Below are 22,741 nucleotides of genomic sequence, written 5' to 3' on the forward strand. Positions count from 1 at the left end.
CAGCTACCCTGGAGGCTGAGGCAGGAGAATGGCATGAACCTGGGAGGCGGAGCTTGCAGTGAGCTGAGATCTCGCCACTGCACTCCAGCCTGGGTGACACAGCGAGACTCCGTCTCAAAAAAAAAAAGAAAGAAAGAAAGAAAAAAAAGAAGGGAGCACCATTTTCTCTTTCGTCCACTGCAAGATGTGGAGTCTATGCCAACACAGAAAAGCAATGCTACCACAGTGGGAAGAAAAGACGATACCCTTCTACTGTCATCAGTCTGGTCAACATCACTGATTACTTCCTGCTTGTGAAATCCAGGAAGCTTATGTAACTAGATATCTCCATGGCCTTTGTGACCACTGACCTTTCCTTGAATATCTCCTGACATCCTGTCTTCCCTGGATTCTGTAACTCCCCAATCTCTCTGTATTTATTTCACATCTGGCATTCTCCTCGAATGAAAGTACACTCCAACCTCTTCTGAATGTTCATTGTTTTCTCCATCTACACGTTCTCAGAGGCCCTTTTCTTCAAACCCATGTGATTTCACATGGTCTCTAAAAACTGGTGACTCTCAAATCTAGATCCTCTCCCCAACCTCTGTATATAATCTAGACTCATACATCAAAATAGGGGTATTTACATATAAAAGCCAGTGTAACTGCTCTAAAGCAGGCCTCATTATCTGTCTTCATCAGCTGTCTCCCTTGCGTCTGCTTCCTCTCATAGCTAACTACACCATCACTCAGACAGCCAACTCAGAGCTCAAGGGATACCCACCATTCCCTCCTCCTCCATCTTACCAAAACTCACTCCTCATTTTGTGAGTGTCTTGACAATCCTTCCCTTACCCACATTTAGAACCCATGCCCTCCTCTGGAATCCATGCCCTCCTCTCTGTCCTGACCAACCTCCTGTATTTCTTACCTCTGCAATTTCAGCCATTTTTGTTGTTGTTGTTGAGTTTCCTTGCTGCTAATCCCAACCCTTAAGCATCACTTCTATGGAGCCTTCTATGAATTTTTTCCCACTTTTCTCTCGTCCCTATCTGGCCCCACTGTACGTTGATTCTTATTCCTGTTACAGCCTTTATCATCCTGAACTACAATTACCTGTGTATCTGCCTCCTTCTAAAACAAGGCTGTTAAAAACTCAGTCTCCAGATAGTACTGGACATAGTGCAGAAAAACAATCAACACCTGAGAAGTGGATTGATGGAGAAAAAGAATGCAAATCCACATGTGCCTCTCTACCTTACCTCTGTACCTCTTTACAATATTAGCACTTCCATTAAAATGCCATCCAAGTTCCCTTTTCTTCTATGACTCTGCCATTCGTTGTCACAGATGTTTTATCCCTCTTTTAAAATTCTCTTAACATCTGGTCCAAATATAAAGATTCCCATGGTTTTGAAAAATGTCCTTTCTAAATGTCATAATTGTCCAATTAATGGTCAAAGGGATGAAGGGATTACTATAGCCAGACAGACTTAAAAAAAGGGGGGTCCCCTGGGCCTGGAAACATGAAAGCAGACGGAAGATATCACCAAATGTATGAACCCTGAGGGGGTCAGATAAGTTATTCCAGCACAGATAATTCACTGGAACCACTTGAAATGTCAAAGGACAAAAAAGGAGGATATTATAATTCACACCAGAAAGAAACTTACTGAATTAATAATTTTAGGTTAAGAAATACAAATACCTTAAAATATTATCAGATAAATTTACAGTAAATAGACTGCTAATAAACTTAGATAAACTATTTAGCAGAAAGGCTTCTGATCTGATGTTTTCAGATTTTAGTCAGGAATAACACGGTGTATATCTGATGAAACCTTTTAAATCCAATGGATTAGACATGTCAATGCCGATACCTTTGAGTTAATTAGAGTTTGTCACAATCTTTGATCTCAAAAAAAAAAAGTCAGACCTCTAGAGCACTAATCACCATTTTTGGTGAGTATATTAAAAATAAAAATAAGAAATCCATCCTAAAAGAAAAAATTACCAAGACATATCATATAAAAATCAAAGATTTCACTAACTAGACAATAAAAAAGATGCAAAAAATCCAAAGTAGGTTATGTACACTACTCAAACATCTTTTACAGGTTTCCTGAAATAGACCTATAAGATAAGTGTTCTCATTCCTTTGCCATTTTGCAGATGTGGAGACAGGACTCAAGGAGGTCCCATTTCCAAATGGAAGAAGTAAAATTTTAACAGGTAAGTCCCTGGCCCTAAAACCCAGGGTCATCTTGCTGTCCTCTCACTTCTACAAAGATTGTCTATTGACTAAGGATTAGGAGTCATGCTAGACACACAGGTCATCCAGCTGAAGAAATAAGCTGATGATTTATTCCTACTAACTAACTTCTTGTCGGGCCTGAAAATGTGTTTTCTTAGAGAGGAAAATTTCACTAAGTAACTAGCTGCAGCATCATTCACTGACCCTGGGACCAGAGACCTCACTGACCAGGATTTAATCCAGCAAATGACGCAATGGCTTTGTCCGTGTCATGTGCCCTCCTGTCCTTGAGGCAGGGGCAGAGGGGCAGGATGGGCTCATTCAGTCCCATGACTTAAATAACATTTATCGGCTGGTGAATATAAGTGTACATATCACCTTCAACCTGTGCCTGAAACTGCAACTTCATCTGCCTCTTCATCTCTACCTGAGACAAAGAATTGCCTCCCAACTAACCAGGATCAAGCAAACCACTGGTGGTCCCCCTTCCCCAGTCTACTTCCTGGCTGAGTCTTCGCCATCACAGCTGGAGTCATTTTGGATTGCTCTAATTCCCCCACACAACACTCTAAACCATAAGCAAATCCCGTCACTACTTCCTCAAAAAATGTATACCGCACCCCTGTCCCCTTCTCTCCCATCTGCTACTGCAATCCCACCTCAAGCACCTTCCTCTCTCACCTGGATTTAGCAGAAGCTATTCTAATGTGCCTTGGTGTTTTTCATTCATGCCCCTCAAAAGTCCATTTTCTGTGTTGCATCCAGATAAATCTTTGTAAAGAGCTCATCTGATTAAGTAATTTTTCCCTGTTCAAAAATTTCCAATAGATCTCTTTGCAACCTCCCTAAAATGCAAGATCCTGACCCCACCAACAAACCCTCCTCCATGGCCACCTCCCTATTTCTACATGATCTCCAGCCTTCCTGTTCCCTGTGCTCCCGCCACACACATGCACACACACATATGCACATGCACGCGTGTGCATGGAACTGCTTTCTGGTCTTGAAACCCACCAAGCTCATCACCTTGCAGATGGCGCTTGCTGGCCCTTAGATCCTAGATCTTTTTCTACATTCTCCCAAGGTCCCTTCTCACTATTCAGGTTTTACTAAAATGTCACCTCTACAGGAAAGCCTCCCTGGCCAGGCAGGCTAAAGTACCTCCCTTTTACTCCACTATTAGATTCCATTATTATTTTATCTTCTTCACATCACTTAAAACTACTTAAAATTGCTTGACTGATACATTTTTGAGTTTGGGAATTTTTTTACATCCTATTATATGAAATTGATTTAAAGGATCTATAATTTTCACAGCTTCTCCTTTTAATGTGCTGTATGTATATCAAAATAACATGTTGTACATCTTAGGTATATACAAGTAAATACATAAATAAATAAAAATATTTCATAAGATACAGGTATATTCAGTACCTTCAAAGAAGGTAAATTGAGGGGGGGAAGCTTCAGTAATGGGACAGAATAAAATATATTGGCGAGCTCAATGACAGCAAAATAGTTTCCAGAGGCCTTTGTCCTCAGTCATTTCAGTGATATTGGATATGTATGCTTGTGTGGGAGGAATAACAGGACTTAGATTATGATAGTCAGTTGATGTCCTTGTGTGAGTCCTGTTTAACACACTGGAATACAAGTAACTGGAGGACAGATTTTATTTTGTTCTCTTGCTATCCCCAGGGCCTAGGACACAGTATGACCCATATAAATATTATCAACTGATTGACTAGGCAGTGGAAAGGCCAGAAACCAAGATAGTCATTTTCCAAGTGATGGATAAACTCACTATGAAGGCCAAGATACCTTCTACTAAATAAAGGCAATGAATCATCCACTTTATTTTAGCCATTGAGCAGTGCTTACGGCAAGTTTCAGGAGCACTGCTATGGAAAAGTACAAGTTAGTTCACAGTCAGCCTATTAGGTGAAACTTAGGAATACAAAGTCAGTACAGAATTAGCTTCCCCTAAAGCATCTAATGATTAGCACATATGCGATGCTATAAAATCTCACATGCTGTGAACATACGGTATCTCATCCTTCAGTTCATTAGCCTGAAATGTGGAGAGGTCATGGAGGACATTACAATAAAGGTCTCCATGGTGGAAAAGTAACCCCCAAGTGTGTTCACTTCTGTATTTCAAAATATTAAAACCTATGTGATGGGAAATATGTTAATGAAAATACAAAAATGATCCCATCCTAAATATAAAGCCAGAAAAGTGAATGACAGATTGCATCCATTTGGTAAGTAGCTCCTAAATACTGAAGGGGTTAAATACTGTTGCTGGATGCCTGACTGTCTCCTTTTTCAGTCCAAAAGAGTGAGAACCATCTACGGTGTTCCTCAGCCTACAAAGTACCAGTGATCCACCCTGCCTCCAATGCTAGTTTAGGAGAGGCAGCCTTGCATAGATACTAGGAGCACAGACTCTGGATCCAGATCACCTGGGTTCAAATCTTCGCTCCACCATTAACCTTATGCTTCAGTTCCCATGCCCTGTAATATGGAGATAAAAACCATAGCTTAAAATTATATGAGTTAATTTGAAAGAACTTAGACCACTTACTGGCAATTACGAAGCACTAAAAAATTTTGACAATTATAAACAAATAAAGGCTATTTAATAAAAAGAAAAATGCTTTATAAATCTTGTAGGAAAGACACGTCTAACAAACAAATTAGTGTCTTCCTAAAAAAAGACAATAAAACCAGTTCAGTGTTTAATAAGAACAGTGAGAATGTGCTGCCTTAGCCTTAGGAAAATTCAACATCTGCCCAAGAAATCTATAAAAGAATGCTCATAGCAGCATTGTTCATAATAGCAAAAAATTAGAAATAATACAGGTGTCCATTGAGAGAATGCAAATATTCATGGTCTCTTATATCACAGTGAAAATGGATGGACAACAGCTATATGCAAAGTAAATATTAGAAATAAGAACGTTGAGAGAAAAAAGAATAATATAGTAAATCAATATTTACCGCCAATAAAAAAACAAGCACAATTAAACAATATTTTGAATTCGATAAAAGTAAATGTGCAAGGAAAAGTAAAAGGAAGCTTCACAGTAGTGCTACTGTGAATATGAATAAGTGTGGTATGAACAACAGAGGTATTCCCCAGGATCAAGCCCCCAGTGGAATGAGGTCACCCACAGTCCTTCTTAGGCCCCACACTTTCCCACTTCCACCCTTCTGCCTGGAACACACTCCCCCATGTCCATTTTAGAACCTTATCCATTCTCTGAGGTCCAAATCAAACACCAGCTCCCCCAAGAGTGGTAACCATTTACCATGTGAGAAGCAAGGAAGCCTCCAGGAAGCGTGCTCAGGACACACCATTGCCTCCATGGCCCTCAGCACGCCCTGCCGTGGAGTCTGGCTTCCTGTGATGTGGGATACGGTGTCCCTGCTGTACACTAAAGCCACAAGACCAGAGCCTGGCCTGCTTGTTACTGTGGCCACTCACTGCCCACCAAAGTTTCTTGCACGTAGAAAGTACCTAATATTTATGGAATGAACATAACAACCAACCGAGCAATAACAAGTCATGGAAAGAAGCCCCAGGTTGATCTGGGAGGAGGTGGGGGAGCAGGCAGGTTTTGGAAGTGTGGGAATCATGTCAACGAAGTGGAAATAAAGAGACCACACTTTTGGCAGAGAAATGAAATAAAGTCTCAAGATAGAATGTACCAAGAATGGAGGTAGCAAATGCATTTTTGTTTGAAAAGACCAAAGTTATAAGTAGTATGGCACATCCATACTATTAAATATTATACAGCTTATTAAGCCAATGTAGTAAAACTCTATATACTGAGTTTATAAATTCAATAATGATGTGAGTGGAAAAAAATAAAGTGCAGACATTTATTTATCTATAGATTAAAAATAGAGAAGAAAAACTCCAATGTTTGACTAAAATAAACTAATTTTTTTAATGTTTGTAAGTGCCAAGAAAATTGTGGTTACTCCTAAGTCGTAGGAAAATTTTTAAAAATATAATTCTATATTAAATTTTCAACAATATGCATTTATTAATTTGGTAATTTAAAATGAGCAAAATATTTACATTTAAAGGAAGGAGGTAAGATTAGTTTTATGGGTTAACCAGTGAGACAGGACTTCAATGCACATATTTAGATCCAGTTCAGGGTTGACTTGCCAGGTATAAGACAGCAGAAAACCATGGAGGGAACCATTGCTGCAGTACGGAAAAGAAAAAACTGGTTCAAAGAATGGGAGGTGTGAAGATATAAACCTTCATAAAGCAGAGGTCTTCTTTCCATAAGTGTTCTCCAAACTGAACGTGAAATCTTTGTTATTCTCATGTAAAGTTGGGCCAAAAAAAAGTTATGTTCAGAATGTGTGGCGTACAGGTGTAGCCTGTAAGTCAATGATAGCCATTCCTAAAACTGGAACCTGCTACCTCTTACTTGCTAGACTCAGTTTACCTGGAGGGAAAAAAGTCACTTGTACCTAAGGAAATGAAATTGGTTTTATCAGCTGCATCAGATAAACTATGTTATCCAAAGCTTTCTGCTTATACCAAGAAGAAATGCTCAGGCACATAGTCATTGACACTTTCCACTGTGACTTGGCCATACTGCATTTTGGTCCTCAAAGTGGCCCCCGTAGCTAGGTAAATAGAACACACCTGTTAATTCGTTATAGGCAAAGTAGCACACATGTTTTTCTCTGTATGCAATAGATTACATTTCTGGTTGAGTGAGTAGATGAAAGTGATGTGCCTTCTCTAACATCATATGTAGGAGGAAAAATGTTCTGCTTAATCTTACTGTTCAAGAAAATCCCTGCAGTTCTCTTTGATTATGACCACAGTAACATAAGAGACAGTTCATTAACCACAGAGATGAAACTGGAGGAGATGGGGCTGTGCTTTAAGGAATAAACACTTCATTCTGGAAGGTCAGATGTTTCCCAAGCACAAATCTCACAGTTTAAGGATACTTCCTTGCAGGGGCACACAGACAGATCTATTTAGTTTAGTAACTAATACCGTGTATCACAATAAATGACAGGTTGTGGAAGGAAGCTACCCACACGAGAAGTCTGGAAAAAAGTTAGTTTACAACTTGTAGGATCAGGCAGTACTTTAATGACTGTGAGTTTTAAAACACAAACATGAGGCAGTTGGTTGGTATGGCTGCTTAACAGAACGGTCTCTTTTGATTTAATGCGCGTGCGTGCACACACACACACACACACACACACACACACAAATACATCCTAAGAGCTTAACATTATTTATCTACTTTGCCTAGTTGGTTTCACCTCTAGGACATTCTCCAAAGGAATTCATCAGATATTTTGTGCTGGGTATATTTTCTTGATTTCTGTATTCTTGATCCTCTGGCATTTGGAGCCTTGTTTCTAGAGAGACTGGCCCTCCTAGGGCTAGCATATTCGTAAAGACAGCAAACAACACCCCAGAGGATACCTCTGCATACCTACCAACCAGCCAAGCCAGAGCCCCCACTCTCAACCATCTCCTTTATCAAATTCTCACCCAATGTGCTAATGTTCCCCCTACCTAAAGCACCCCAGAGCCAACTACCACAGCAGTAGGGAACACCACATAGCCCAGCACCCACCAAAAATACTCAAACTCTCAAATCCTAAACTTAGTGTACTCACCCTGCCTTGCCCACTCCTTACAGAGAGAACCCCAGTCAAGCCTCTGCAAGCCTCGGTTTTCTTCTGCCTCCCAACCCTCCCTGGTCCTTCCCCACGTGGCCCTGTGTAGCATTATGAGCCTCCTGTTTACAGAGTCTGTGAGCATAAACCTTTTCTTCATGACCATCATGTCTGCCTCTGCTGTCTCACCATCCTTGATTAACACAAATCCCACAGACATTTTTAACATAGATGTCAGCAAAGATTTACACTGAAATATATTCAACCTAGTCTGATTATTATGTGTTACAAGCATCGTTTGGAAGCTTCTACTGAGGAAGAGGGAAATAGTTCTATACAAATGGAACAAGGAAGACAAAAAAAAAAAATAGGACCAAAGAAGACAAAATAAAATCAGGAAGACAAGACATTGCTTTTAAGATAAATATGCTCAAGTTATAATATTAAGTGTATTGGCAAGAAACTCAACTCTATGTACAGCACATAAACAAACACACACATAGTTGCACACCCACATATACACATCCACACAGCTGCACACATAAATGAGTGCTCATGTGAATGCACACACAAAAACACTTTCATATTGAAATATAAACATACATTTCTATAATTTATAAAACCAGCTGCACCTATCAGTGCCAGGTTGCAAATTCCAGCTCAGCCACTTCCTGGTTGTGTGTTCTGTGCTTCCATCTTCAAGTGGGGATAATACTAGCACCTTTCTCATATGGTTTGTAAGGATTTAATAATTTAATCAACGTAAAACACTTAGAACAGTGCCAGGTCCACTGCAAGTACTCAATAATGGTTAGACATGACAATGCAGGTCTTTAAGGTTATAATGAACATCTGGAGAAAAACACACCCAATCATTAGAACATTCTGAGATATATGGCTTTGCACATTTTTAATGCTTTGGGGCAATTGTTTTTGCAAGATTAATGTAAATTAGCATGTATGATTATTATAATAAAAAGTCATGTATCCTTTTGCTAAGAAGATGCTGCAGACAAGAATCAAGATGAATTGGGAGCTTAAGCGCTGTCTCTAATTCACACCACCAGAGGATTGCAGTAGCTTTACTAATAAGTCCAGTCCCCATAAATTTGTTATACATGGTCATGCTTGAAGATGGCATCAAGAATGTGGAAGACAGTGTCAAAGACAGCCCTTAATTATTTTTAAAATGACTAGAATTCTCATACCAAATTCTCAAATCACCATCCAAACAGCCTCATCCTAACTCCACAACACCATGTTGATCACGATTCCCTGGAGCTTGGCATGTGAGTGGTGCTCTTCTGATAGGAAGAGCTGATCCACGCTATCATCTTCAGAGAAAAATAAAATAGAGTGCAATGATATGCCCAACTTCTCTACAGGAAATCCAACATGGCCAAGTATTTTTTTTCCACAGTAGAAAACTTGAATTTAAATTAGATTTTTTACATAAGCAGCACAATGACCAAAGACCACTGACTGAGATGAAAACAGAAAAACACACGTCAAGGAAAACACTATGATATCCAGAAGCCTAGAAAAAATATGACACTGGTGTGGCATCAAATTCCAGATCAAATTAAGTGCACTGGTGGCAAGCATCCATAACTTCCTAAATGGAAGTCGGAGCTAAAGTGTTCAAAAACACCAGAGCTGGCATCTTCATTTATCTTGAGAGTTTCCCCCACATATCGTACTGAAGATAAAATACAATGAGATCATAACCCTTCAAAAGCGTAGCTTATTGTGCAATATTTTTCTCCAGTGGTTAATGGTGATTCTCACAGATTGGAACAGAAAAGGTTATAGCAAGGGCCAGGTCTGCAAACACATTGAGAAAATAATTTCCTAACAGACAAGAGCCTCAGTAGAGTAGAAAAGACACCAGCATGGCTGAGGATACTGAAGAACTGCAATTCAGGTAGATCAGGTACCAAGCCCTTCTGCCCTTCAGATGAAAAGTCTCTTCCATTTACCAAATTTGCCCACAAAAATATTTCAATTTTCTGTGTCTAATGTCATGAAAAACTTTGGAAAAAACTATGAGAGTTTGAGAAACACAGGCCTAGGTTTAATCTGGAAAATAAAGTATGATTCGGCAAAGTGAACCTTCTAGCACCAGGTTATCAGCAATCTAGAAAGTGGCTGTGCCAGGACTTGAATTCACATGTGTCTGAATCGGAAACCACTGTGCAAGCCTGTGCTACCAATGGTATAAAGACTGACTGTTTTGAGTATCCTGATAATTTGCAAAAATATTGTACCATCATCATCAAAGAAAACGCCACATTTTTTAACTTTGAAAAATGTGTGCTTCATTTCAAATGTAAGATAGTGCTAAGATAGTTACCTCTCTATAAAAAATGAATTTCAATAACCCAGCAATCCCACTCCTATGTCTATATCTAAGAGAAAGAAAATATCTGTTCACATAAAACTTGTACATGAACATTCATAGCAGCACTATTGATAATAGTCTAAAAAGTAGAAATGATCTGAATGTCCATCAACTAATACATGGAGAACAGATGAAGAAAATGTGGTAGATGCTACAATGAAGTGTTATTCAGCCAGTAAAAGGAATAAAGTGCTGACATATGCTATAATGTGGATGCTATAACATGCTATAAGCCTTGAAAACATGATAAGTGAAAGAAATCAGGCACAATAGGCCACACATTTTACGATTCCATGTATATAAAATATCTAGAATATGCAAATCCGTAGAGACAGAATATAGATTAGTGATTGCCAGGGGTTGATGGAAGGAAGAATGGAGAGTTTCTGCTAATGGATACGGGTGTTCTTTCTGGGGTCATCAGAATGTTCTAAATTTAGATAACAGTGGTGGTTACACAGCTCTGTGAATGTATGAAAAATTATGAAAAATCTCAAAAGGGTAAATTTTATGATATGTGATTTATATCTTATGTAAAGCTGTTATTAAAAAATAATTTCCAACTAGCAACCAGGCTACCAGGTTCTTGTGATGATGGTTCCAGCAGAAGCTGGTGATAGAGAAAGAAGATTAGGGTGTGGCTGATGACGGAAAGGGGCCTTGAGGGGAACTTCTCAGTCTTGGGTAAGAGGGGCTTCCACAGTGGTGTTTGGTGATAGCGGTGACTATGGGAGTCACAAAAGTAAAGGAGAGAGCTCTTTATATAGGAAGCTTTCCATAGTCTAGGTTCCCATTAGCTTGACATAGATGGTGAAGGGGGATAAGATACTGGTATACATACAAAGTAAAAGAGCCATATACACCGTGGAATACTATGCAGCCATAAAAAAGGATGACTTCATATCCTTTGCAGGAACATCTATGAAGCTGTGAACCATCATTCTCAGCAAACTAACACAGGAACAGAAAACCAAACACCACATGTTCTCACTCATAAGTGGGAGTTGAACAATGAGAACACATGGACACAGCGAGGGGAACATCACACACCAGGGCCTGTCGCAGGGTTGGAGGCGAAGTGAGGGAGAGCATTAAGACAAATACCTAATGCATGTAGGGCTTAAAACCTAGATGATGGGTTGATAGGTGCAGCAAACCACCACAGCATATGTATACCTATGTAACAAGCCTGCACGTTCTGCACATGTATCCCAGAACTTAAAGTAAAATTTAAAAAATAAAAGAATTAAACTCAGATAACTTAAAAAATAAAAATTAAAAATAAATTCTTTTTATCATTTTCAATTCAGAATAATTTGATCAATTTAGACAAATTAAACAATCTGAAGATCTAAAAAAAAATGTAAAATTGACATTCTTCTTCAATAGTTTGAACACAATGTACATTTTTTTTTTTTTTTTTTTTTTTGAGACGGAGTCTCGCTCTGTCGCCCAGGCTGGAGTGCAGTGGCGGGATCTCGGCTCACTGCAAGCTCCGCCTCCCGGGTTCACGCCATTCTCCCGCCTCAGCCTCCCAAGTAGCTGGGACTACAGGCGCCCGCCACTACGCCCGGCTAATTTTTTGTATTTTTAGTAGAGACGGGGTTTCACCATTTTAGCCGGGATGGTCTCGATCTCCTGACCTCGTGATCCGCCCGCCTCGGCCTCCCAAAACATTTTTTACTGAAATGCACCAGCTCTCCAGATAGCTCATTGCCCTGTTAATATTCATGAAGAAATCAACTCTACAATTACTTTAAATACGTTACATTATATACAATTATAATTTATTATAATTTACATTACCTAGAATTATAAATTACTTCATGATTTATATGACTTATTTCCATGATTTATTTAATGCTTGTGTTGGTGGAGACCAGTGTCTGACCTCAGGAACTCACTCTCCTCTCCAAAATGCATGCTTTTGTGTACCCTTAGACAACCCTGAGAGACTAGGTACACATTTCTTCACTCCAACTTGTTTATTAAAAATTTCCATTCTTTTCCCAGAATTTTTTTTCCACTGTTCAAGCAATTAAGGCAAATAGCTAAAGAAAACTTTTTCAGTACTGGTCATTCCCAAAGAGAAGAGCAAGCTGGAAGACCCAGTGAGCATGAAGGTGGATGAGCAGTATCCATAAAAGTCGCGCCACACTGCCTGGACCTATTTCTTCCACTATGTATCACAAGTGCTTGCATATTTTACTGTACAGTGTGTTAAGTTTCAGTGAAGACAAAGGGTCTAGTGCCATATGTCAGCCAAAGACAATGTTTCCCATGGTGTCCACCCTTAATTATTAAACATGTCCTTCTAGAATCTCAGAACTATCCCAAAGGCCATATGTGCCACCTCGTAATGTGAGGCCTCAATCTTATGACACCTGTGCAATTACAATGACTCAGCATCCCCGTGTGGTCCTCTTCTCAGCTCCTAAAAGAATCACCCTCATTCCACCATTGCCAAAGCACAGGAATATAATGTGGGACGTGCTGTCAAAACAGGATTTCAGATCACAAAATAGTTATGTTCCCCAAAATCACAGTTCTATAAATCGTTAGCAAGCATCTTTCCATAAATTAATGCCTTGACCACTAGGCAAGACTCTCATCCTATGGGGATTTTCTGGGCAATGTTTTTGTCCTATAGGAGTTTTCCTTAAAAAATTTAAAGATGAGAATCAGCCTGGGGTTGCTAGTTAAGCTCAACACAGTCCTAATAAGCAGCTGCTTCTGCTCCCAACTGTCACCATTCCCTCCATATCAATATCTCTGAGAAGGTCAGCACACTGTCTTCAGCATGCTCTAATAAATCAAACACAAGTTTGTACCAGTCGAATAAGGCCCCGTGTATGTGTTGCTACACACTTGTCTCCACTGGTCTACAACATAGAAAATTGTGTCCTTATTTGCTGTAACCACATGTTCACTACAATTAACTCTATACATGTACACACTACATGCTGGACTCAGATGTCTAAACCATACTTCTTTGGCCCATCTATCTCTCTTAATGTCAATCTATAAAGGAGGATCCACAGAACATTCATGTAATTACTACAATTAACAAGGAGATGCAAGTCACGGCCAGGGACTAGTAAGTTCTGCTATAAACACACAATCACAGAGCAATAAAGGATTTTGGCAGCTTATCTGCTCTTTCATCACCTCTCTGGCTCTTGCAAAAGTGGAGTGTCTCAACCTCACCACCAATTTCACAAGAGATGCTATGACTTTATCTATGATTCCTCCATGCAAATGTGACTATTCTATAGGCCCTTTGAGCTCTTTCTGGAATCACACAGATGTGAGTTTGAAATATGCCCCACTTTCCAGCTTTGTGACTTTGAAAGAGTTACTAATCTTCGGTAATTCTCTTTTTTCTTCTTCTAAGAAGTACCATCTACCTGTCAAGGTTTTGGGGTTTTGAGTGTTAGTGAGGTGAAATGATCTACTGGTACCATCTACCTGTCAAGGTTTTGGGGTTTTGAATGTTAGTGAGGTGAAATGATCTACTGGTACCATCTACTCATCAAGGTTTTGGGGTTTTGAATGTTAGTGAGGTGAAATAATCTACTGGTACCGTCTACTTGTCAAGGGTTTGAAGACCCAATAATCTCATCCTGCTTTTAATGTTCCCAATACACCATCAGAACTGTATTAAGGGTCCACAAGATGTTATCTGTTGAATGCCCTTCTCACCTTGCCCCAGCCAGTATCCTGGTTGAATCATTCCTGGCTCTGTTCTCCTTTTTCTCTCATGTATCCTCAACATGGCTTAAACCCATCTATCAGGAACTTCTGGACTTGGTCTTATGACAGCCCCTGAACATGGCCAGCAAGATGCAACACAAACTCACTCCAAATTCCTCTTCCTGCCTCATGGTCCTCTTTGCACCAACAATTCAGCACCCTTGACACCAGCATTTTCATGCCTACATGCCCCTTGCTCTTTATGCTCCAAATGCCATCTCCAAACTACAATTTTCTATCTTCTCCCATTTTATGAAGATCCACTACAAATGCATCCACAAAAGCTGTGTTAATTACCCTCTGTCATGGCCCATTCGAATGAATTATTCCTTCCAATTTGCATTCAAACTCATTGTATATACCCCTTATTATTTCACTTACAAAGTGATATAACTGTTTATGAATTTAACTCCCCAATACAAACCAGACCGTAAGCAAAGACACTCTTTTAGTACAGTACACATTTTTATCACAATCGAGCTTAGGTCTGAAACATTGCAGAGACACAGGCAATGTTTGTAAGACAAATGAGGAAGCACAAGGAAAGATTAGGAAGCCCAGCTCCTCCACTAGGCACCCGAGTTTAAGTCTCTGTACTGCCCCTTGCTGGCTGGGTGACTTTGGGCGAGTTATTTCACCTCACTAACATTCAGCTGCTCGTTACAACACTAGCATATTAATTGTACTTTCCTTGTGGGTTGCTATAAGGATTGTAATATTGAATACCCTCCATGCATCATCTCACACTGACTAGCATACAATGATTAACACATACCTGCTGCCACATTATAATGAAAATTGGAACCCCCAATTTTAAGCCATCTCATGCTCTGCTGAAAAATGAGCCAATCCTCTTTGCTGAATGCTCCTTGACAGTCCACAGAGGCTTAAGGCTTAGAAGCAAAGAACTTATTAAAATAGGAGGGAACGAGAGAAAAGGGAAACAGTAACTGTTCACAGACAGCTCTCCTCTTCTGCCACTACAGCCAGTCAGAAACATGGCAAAGGTCTGGATATAGAGTGTTTACATCCAAGTTCTAAGCCTCACCCAGCCTCCTACTGTGAATCAGTTTGTTTGTTTGTTTGTCTGTTTGTTTGTTTTTTGAGATGAAGTCTCGCTCTGTTGCCCAGGCTGGAGTACAGTGGCATGATCTTGGCTCACTGCAAACTCTGCCTCCCCAGTTCAAGCAATTCTCCCGCCTCAGTCTCCCCAGTAGCGGGGATTACAGATGCATGCCACCATGCCAGGCTAATTTTGTATTTTTAGTAGAGATGCGGTTTCACCATGTTGGCTAGGCTGGTCTTGAACTCCTGACCTCAGGTGATCTGCCTACCTCAGCCTCTCAAAGTGCTGGGATTACAGGCGTGAGCCACCATGCCTGGCCTGTGAATAGGTTTTAAAAGAATTACATATGATTTCTCTGTTCATTTTCCCACCTATGAAATCTACAGCTGTCATATTTCCCAGAACCATGGTGATACGCGTTTTCATTAGCTGCCTGCCATGAAGTTAGATTAAGAAGACATCAATGATTTTTTCTAATCAAAGTCATAAAGTCAAGTGGTTTCAAATAACAACCTCCACTATATATATGTTAAAGAGAAAAATAGCACCCATATCGCAGCCTGGGTGCCCATAATCTTCTAATACCAGTAATAAATCTTTCTGCGAAGGCTAAATCATTTATAAACTTGTTAACACAGCTCAAGTCTCTAATGCTGTATCACTAGGTTTCTTACTTAATCAAATTGTTTAAAAATGTGTATTTGCAATACTGAGTGATTAGGAGGTTTATCTTATGAAAGACCATTCCAGTGTCCCGTTGTACACAAATAATTTGAAGGCAATTTCCCCTTGTTAAGGGTAAAAACTCTGATTAGACTAACTTCTGATAGCTAGTTATTGAGATCACAGAAAGAATGCAGCCACTAGTGAATAAACAAATACTAAGACCTTCCAGGTGGACTGTCTCAGGTGACCTCCAAAGGTTAATTCATGTAAAAAGGATACTGCCATTACAACCAGAAACCAACAAGTTATGCCCTCCTTTTGAAAAGTATTAGATTCCAGGATGGATTATCCAGCCAACCAAAGAAAGGGCGAATATAAGGTAACCAGCTCTCCAGAGTATGTTCTCTCACCCAGTTTAATGGGAAGCTATGTGGTTTGGAAGCAAATTCTAGAGTTACAGAATGTTAAGCAAGATATTCATTATTTTACCCCATCATGAAACAACAAGCCCAAACAGCTAACTCCAGGAACGTTTTCTGAGACCGTGTGCACATCAAGAAACAAGAAACAAAATAGGTTGTTGAAAACACCCACATGTTACAGCATTTCTGCCCTTCCTGAGGATGGGAATAACATTAGAAATAACTTCACAGAAAAACAGACTCCCCAGAGATTCAAAATTCCCCAGGAATCTCACCATTTGGACAGACATATGTACTCTGGAAAAATTGTTCCTATCATCCAGTAGCCATGAATTCTAACTTAGTCTAAACTTTCCATTCAAAAGGCAGCACCTTTCTTAATTTTAAGCAATGTCTAAAGTCCAAAGCCCCAGGACAACATTTCTTCTGAGCCTGTGTCAGCTTCATTCAGTCTCATTGAACTGAATGATGTATAATCAAAGCCAATGGGATTCTGAAGGAGAGAGAAAGTGAGAATACTAGACTCAAACCTGAACAGAGCTGAGTCAATTACAGAAAAGTCTTGGCAAAGTAACTTCAGCCCCATGAGGTGCTGTTTCTCTGTGGGTAAATAAGGATACTCACAGCCCCCTGTCTCTTGGGGCATTTGCAAGGAGTGAATGAGCTAATACGTACAAAAGGTGGCCAGAATGCTGGGTGCACAGCTAATGGCCAATAATCATGAATTAATCTCCATGCCCTTTTAAATGGAGGGACTTCGAATATGCTGGATTCTCTTCCATATCACTTATTACTCCATCATTGAATTGGCCATATAGAAGGCATATGCAGGTAAACGATGTCTGTAACAGAGGTCACCAACTCATCCACGGTGAGCAGATGCAGACAGGTGCATCATATAAGGTCACAAGTGGCCAGCAAAGAAAAGGACTCACAGGCCAGCAGAAACAACAAGATGATGAATATCTGGGACCTGTCTTTACCCAACAGGAATAAAAGAAACTTGGGTTTCCAATTTACCATGAATGATGATGGTACTACAGGTCTTCTGCCTTACGTAGTCAGAGAAGTAGACATGGAGGAAGAATTTGTTAGAAGCAAAATAAAGCGAACATGGTTAAAATGACAACAACAAACTAGCTCTGTCTCAGAGGACTCCGCATGCACAAGAGCAGTATTTGTCCAAACACAAACATTTTCCCAGTGGCAATGACTTACTTACTGCTAAGTCCAGCAGAGGCAGCGATACTAATTTATAATGTGTGAAATAAAGAAAAGATAACACAGGCTTCTAAAAGGCTGGCCAGTGGGAATAGTCACATAAAGATCCCAGCCTAGATTTATTAAAAATTACAATAATTAGTCCTAGAAAAGTAGAAAACTAGAATTATTTTCTCAAACATAAAACAAACTGCCCTCATGTCAGTACTCAATTCCAGTGAGAATTGAATAAATTTCTGCTTTGGGAAAAAACCAGCAACACTGATTTTATCTTTAATAAAAGGAGTTATAAATATCAAGAAAATATTTTGATTTGTATAAATGCATCAAATATAAAATTTAAGCCTTAAATATTTATTGGATATGTCAAGTATGGATGGCACTGGACATTTTAAAAATTATTCAAAGAAATTTTAACAGGTATTAAGTAACTCAAATCCAAATTAGAAAAGAAGAAACATATATAGGTTAATGTATAATAACTGATAAAATATCAGATTTAAAATCATAAAACATCTGTAAGTTTAACACAAATGTGAAATGTTTACGTGAAGAGAATGTACGGAAATGATATTAAATGAAATTAGCCCAATGCAAGTAGGTGTCCTGTAGTAGATAGATTTCAAACAGGTCTTTCAGTAAAAGTTAGACAGTTATTACCATGGAATTTGGAAAATGGAAAATTAAGAGATTCTAGAATGAGGAAGGTACTGTATCAAATTTCTCAGAGAATAAACACTATTCCAGAGTTCCTTAGCTTCAGCGTGACTGTCATTTTGGACAGGATACATGTTTATTGTGGATCTGTCCTGTGCATTGAAGGATGCTTAGCGGTATTGCCTGCTGCTTTTCATGAGATGTCTGTAGCACAAGAAACAGTCTTGACAATCTTAGTGATGTTTCTAAATATTGACAAATGTCCCCTTGCAGAGGAGGAGAAGGCAGAATTGCTCTCCCTTCCATTGAGGACCACTGCTGTATACAAAGATACAATCTACAAAAAGAGTATGTAACAAGTAGACTAAACATAAAGAGAGAATATCGTGATTTTATTTTCCATATTTTGATTTTCTTCTCTACTTACTGTGCTAATACGATCTTACAGAAAGTGCTACGCATAGTAATCAAAACTGTATCCTGAATTAGTACAACACAATTTCAGCACAATGAAACATGGGTTTCAAAAATCAGTTATATAATGGATACCAGAAAAACAGGCTTCTGTTACCACAGTAATAAGGACAGCACAGTTTGGTAAATGAAGTGAACATTGAAATTTAGCCCTCATTTAACACATTTCTAAAACTTAAGCAGGAACCACAAACCTCCAAGGGAAGTGTATTTTGGTCCCATAAGCTACCTGGCTGCATTTGCTTTGCTTTGCTAATGACAACAGAATTACCAGCCAAGTGTTCACCTGTGGAAGAGGGGCTATACCTTCACAGGGATCAGCAATAAAGAATAAAATCTTCCTCAGTCCCCAGCTACCCTCCCCATCTCTTACCCTCATGCTGCTAGGTCAACTAAGCCATTCCTTATCAGTTGATGCAGTGGCCTGCCAGATTCCTTTAAGCTCTGGATGGTGAGTACCTAGCGCAAAAGTCACTTTAGGAAAAAGAAGAGTCTGTAGTCCTGCCTTACCACCATCACCATCACCATCATCACCATCTCTACCACCATCACCACCAATACCACTACCATGACCACCATCATCATTGTCAACACCACCACTATGACTTTTACCACTATTGCCACCATCACTACTACTGCCATCATCACCATCACTACCAACACCACAACTACCACCATCATTACCATCACTATGACCATCACCACTACCACCACACCACACCACAATCACTACCACAATCATCACCAACACTACCATCACCACCACCATTTTCACCACCATCTTCAACATCATTATCACCACCACCACCACCACAATCACCAACACCACTGTTACCACCACCACCATCACCACCACCACCACTACAGCTAGCTAGAAGTCTCACTCTCCACAGCACGGAATACTATAACCCTGCATTGGGCTCCAGCACAATCAAACTTCTCCTTGAACATAATCCACTAAGGCACTCCAGCTCACACTTCTTAACTCCACTAGACTTTTCTACTTCCTGCACTTTTACAATTCCAGAACTTTCTGAAGTCATTATCTTGATCTGGGATGTCCTCTCCACACAAATTCTTAGGTTACCAACTTATTAAGTCAAACTTGAAGCACAGTGGATATGCAGTAAATACTGAATTGCTCACAAATTACAGAAATTCCCTCCATGATATGAAACAAGCTTTCCAGTGGATTGGCATCTATTGATTTAACTCCTACATCGTGCTTAGTAGGTGCAGGCATGGTACTAAGTATTTTATATTATCAGTTGATTTATCCTCATAACAGCACAACACAACGGTTACTATTATTATCCTCATTTTTCATATGAAGAAACTGAGGCAAAGGGACATCAAGAAAGGTGCACAAGTTCACAGAACTAAAATTTGAATCCAGGCAGCAGTCTCACCATGATCTCTGAACCACTCCAATGTGTAGCTACTCTACACTGAAAACAATTTCAAAACAAATTTTTAGTTATTTTTTTTTTAAATGTCATAGAGTCTAAGAGATAGCCAGAGATTTTTCTAACAACAGAATCCTATTTTTAAGAGCCTCAAGCCCAGCCTCCCTCTCCTCTGAGAGCACGTTGAAGAAAATTTGGGCCCATTTTAAACACAGTTTAGACATCACTGTTTTTACGGCAAATATTTGTTTTTCACAGACATGGAAACTAAGACCTGAGAAAGGGTAGTCGTTTACCCAAGTAACACTGAATTAGTTGGCAGCAGAGTTGAAACTAAAACCCTGGAGTCCCGATGCCAACTGGATGATTTTCAATTATCCCTTGGCCCCCTGGCTAATCATTAAATAGATTTTCTACAGAAAGGTGCAGTTTCATATCTACCAGGTAAGAAACATGGTTGATGACACATGAAAATGATTCACTAGAAAAGACAAAAGATAATCATTCACCCAAACACGCCTCTTGCTAAATCTTCAGAGTCTAATATCGCACAGTGCAATTTGGGATTCAGGCTTTACCTCTCATCTAAGGAGTCCAAAGCCCTTCTCAGGCAACCCTGGGCCACTAAGTTACTGGCCAGTTAGCAACAGAGAAACCATGTAACAAAAATTGTACTCATCTGGTAGGCTGAGTTCATGGCCAAGCCAGAACCAAAACTCCACCTCTCTCTGTACATCCACCTGTGATCTGGTGCATGCCCCCAGCCCTGGGCTCCCCCTCCCGACCCACACCTGTGAGGGGACCTTTACCTGCGTGTGCTGGAGGCTCCTCAGCTGTTTCTCCTTCTCTGTAACTGATTTACTGGCTGACCTTCAGACCATCTTAAGCCTTTCCATGACTAAGTTTCTCCTGTGCAAAATTACACTTCTCTCTCTGAGGAGGTGTTGAGAATGATTAAATGAACCTGGCCACAGAGCGAGAGCTCGTCAGACACGAGGCATTAGATCGGGGGGCTGTGTTGTCCGCGGGGTGCTTTCTGGTGATCATTCATGCAGATACCCAAATCAAAGTCTCCAGGTAAAGAAAACGACTTTGGAAAACTCTGTGGTTTTAACAAACACATAACAATGCCCCCACCCCCACCGTTCTCTGGTTTCATATTAAGTAAATCTTTTACTGAGGGTTTTTTCTATCCAGGCACAATGGAACCCTGATAAAAAATTTTATGTATCTTCTATGAAAATACCTATAAAAATAATTTGATGGGAAAAAATCTCTTTTAGCTTCTGTTTTACCATGAGAATTTCTTTTTTTAGAGACAATTAAAAGTTAACACAAAAGTTTTATTTCTCAGTACCTGTAATTTGTTTTTATTAAATTAAAGAAAGAGTATACATAACAGATAAGCATTCACCTATACCTATAATAACTGGGAAAAAAATCATATGATCATGTAGGTCTATTAAGAAAGTAAAAATTAAATATAACAATGCACTCCAGAAATGGATACTAAGATCTTATTTAAAATACAGTATGTATGACTAATAAATTGTCATTCTCATTACCATGCTCCAAATAGTTATTTCCTTTCTTAATTCACCTTTTGAAAGCATTTTGTTCCATTTTCCTGGGGCTGTTTTACTGCGTGACTTCCCTGGGCATTCAACAGTCAATCTCCGCAGGATTGGGATTTTCATTTCACGTGTCTTTAATCTAGCAAAGCATTCAGGCTACTCTTTTCACAGATATAAATAAGTAAATACAACAATCTTCAGGTAAAGAAAAAATACATTCCTCAGGGACAAGGATAAAGCTGGAAGCCATCTTCCTCAGCAAACAAACACAGGAACAGAAAACCAAACACTGCATGTTCTCACTTATAAGTGGTAGTTGAACATTGAGAACACGTGGACACAGAGAGGCGAGCATCACACACCTGGGCCTTTTAGGAGGTGGGGGTGAGGGGAGGAATCTTAGAGAGCGGGTCAATAGGTGCAGCAAAACACCATGGCCCACGTATATCTGTGCAACAAACCTGCACATTCTGAATATGTACCCCACTTTTTTTAGAAGAAATGAAAAACAAAAAAAAATTTTAAAGAATAAAAGCAGGAAAAAAAAAAAAGACATTCAAGCCGCCTACATTTCCATAACAGAGCGTTCTCTATCTACTTACTATATTTATTCTTGAGTTATAGCAAATGACAATTTCCATCTGGACTTTTTTTTTTTTTTAAATAAAGGCATTTCTCATTTCATCTTGTGATAATTTGAAAAACTATGTATACTGTGTAACCTAAATAAAATAGATTATAGCACCACTCCAAAAATTGCTGTCAACTTCCACACATACTAAGCTAGTGGACCTACCCCAGGCAAAAGAAACAGGGTCAGATGCTGCCTAATAGAAATCAAGTGACACGTCTTTAGCATGTTCTTTGCTATGCCACTGGTTATCTGTAGAGGCTCCAGAGTTTAGTAAGTCTTCTTAATTGGACATCATTTAGCTCAGCCACTGGGCTCAAGTAGACAAATAGGAAGTGAGTTTTCCATGTGTACTCTGTTCCTTATCTGCACAGTGGGTGCCCTCTGAACTGAGCCTCATCAGAGGCTATGTGTCTCAGCCCACACGCAAGCAACGTGCATGCTGCCTGAAGTGGAAGCAAAAGTGTGTTGTTAGTTGCGCACCCATAGAAGCACACCTGAGCCTCCCTATACAGTGCCCAACTAGAAGAGGCTGAGCACTTCCCTCCTGTCATTTGT

At 39.6% G+C, this 22,741-nt stretch overlaps 1 protein-coding gene across 9 annotated transcripts in view; it reads right to left on the minus strand.

Moving 5' to 3' along the window:
- Positions 1-22,741, minus strand: part of SEMA5A (semaphorin 5A) — a 511,043-nt gene that overhangs the window by 353,750 nt on the left and 134,552 nt on the right. The window contains exon 1 of one of the 9 annotated variants that reach the window (XM_006714507.4): positions 20,788-21,056. The exons of the other annotated variants lie outside the window; for them this stretch is intronic. The gene's annotated coding sequence lies outside the window, so the exon portion shown is untranslated. Of the gene's footprint in view, positions 1-20,787; positions 21,057-22,741 lie in introns of those variants that run through there. 9 annotated transcript variants of the gene reach the window in all.

The sequence above is a fragment of the Homo sapiens genome, chromosome 5 (assembly GCF_000001405.40).
Source record: "Homo sapiens chromosome 5, GRCh38.p14 Primary Assembly".
Lineage (NCBI taxonomy): Eukaryota > Metazoa > Chordata > Mammalia > Primates > Hominidae > Homo > Homo sapiens.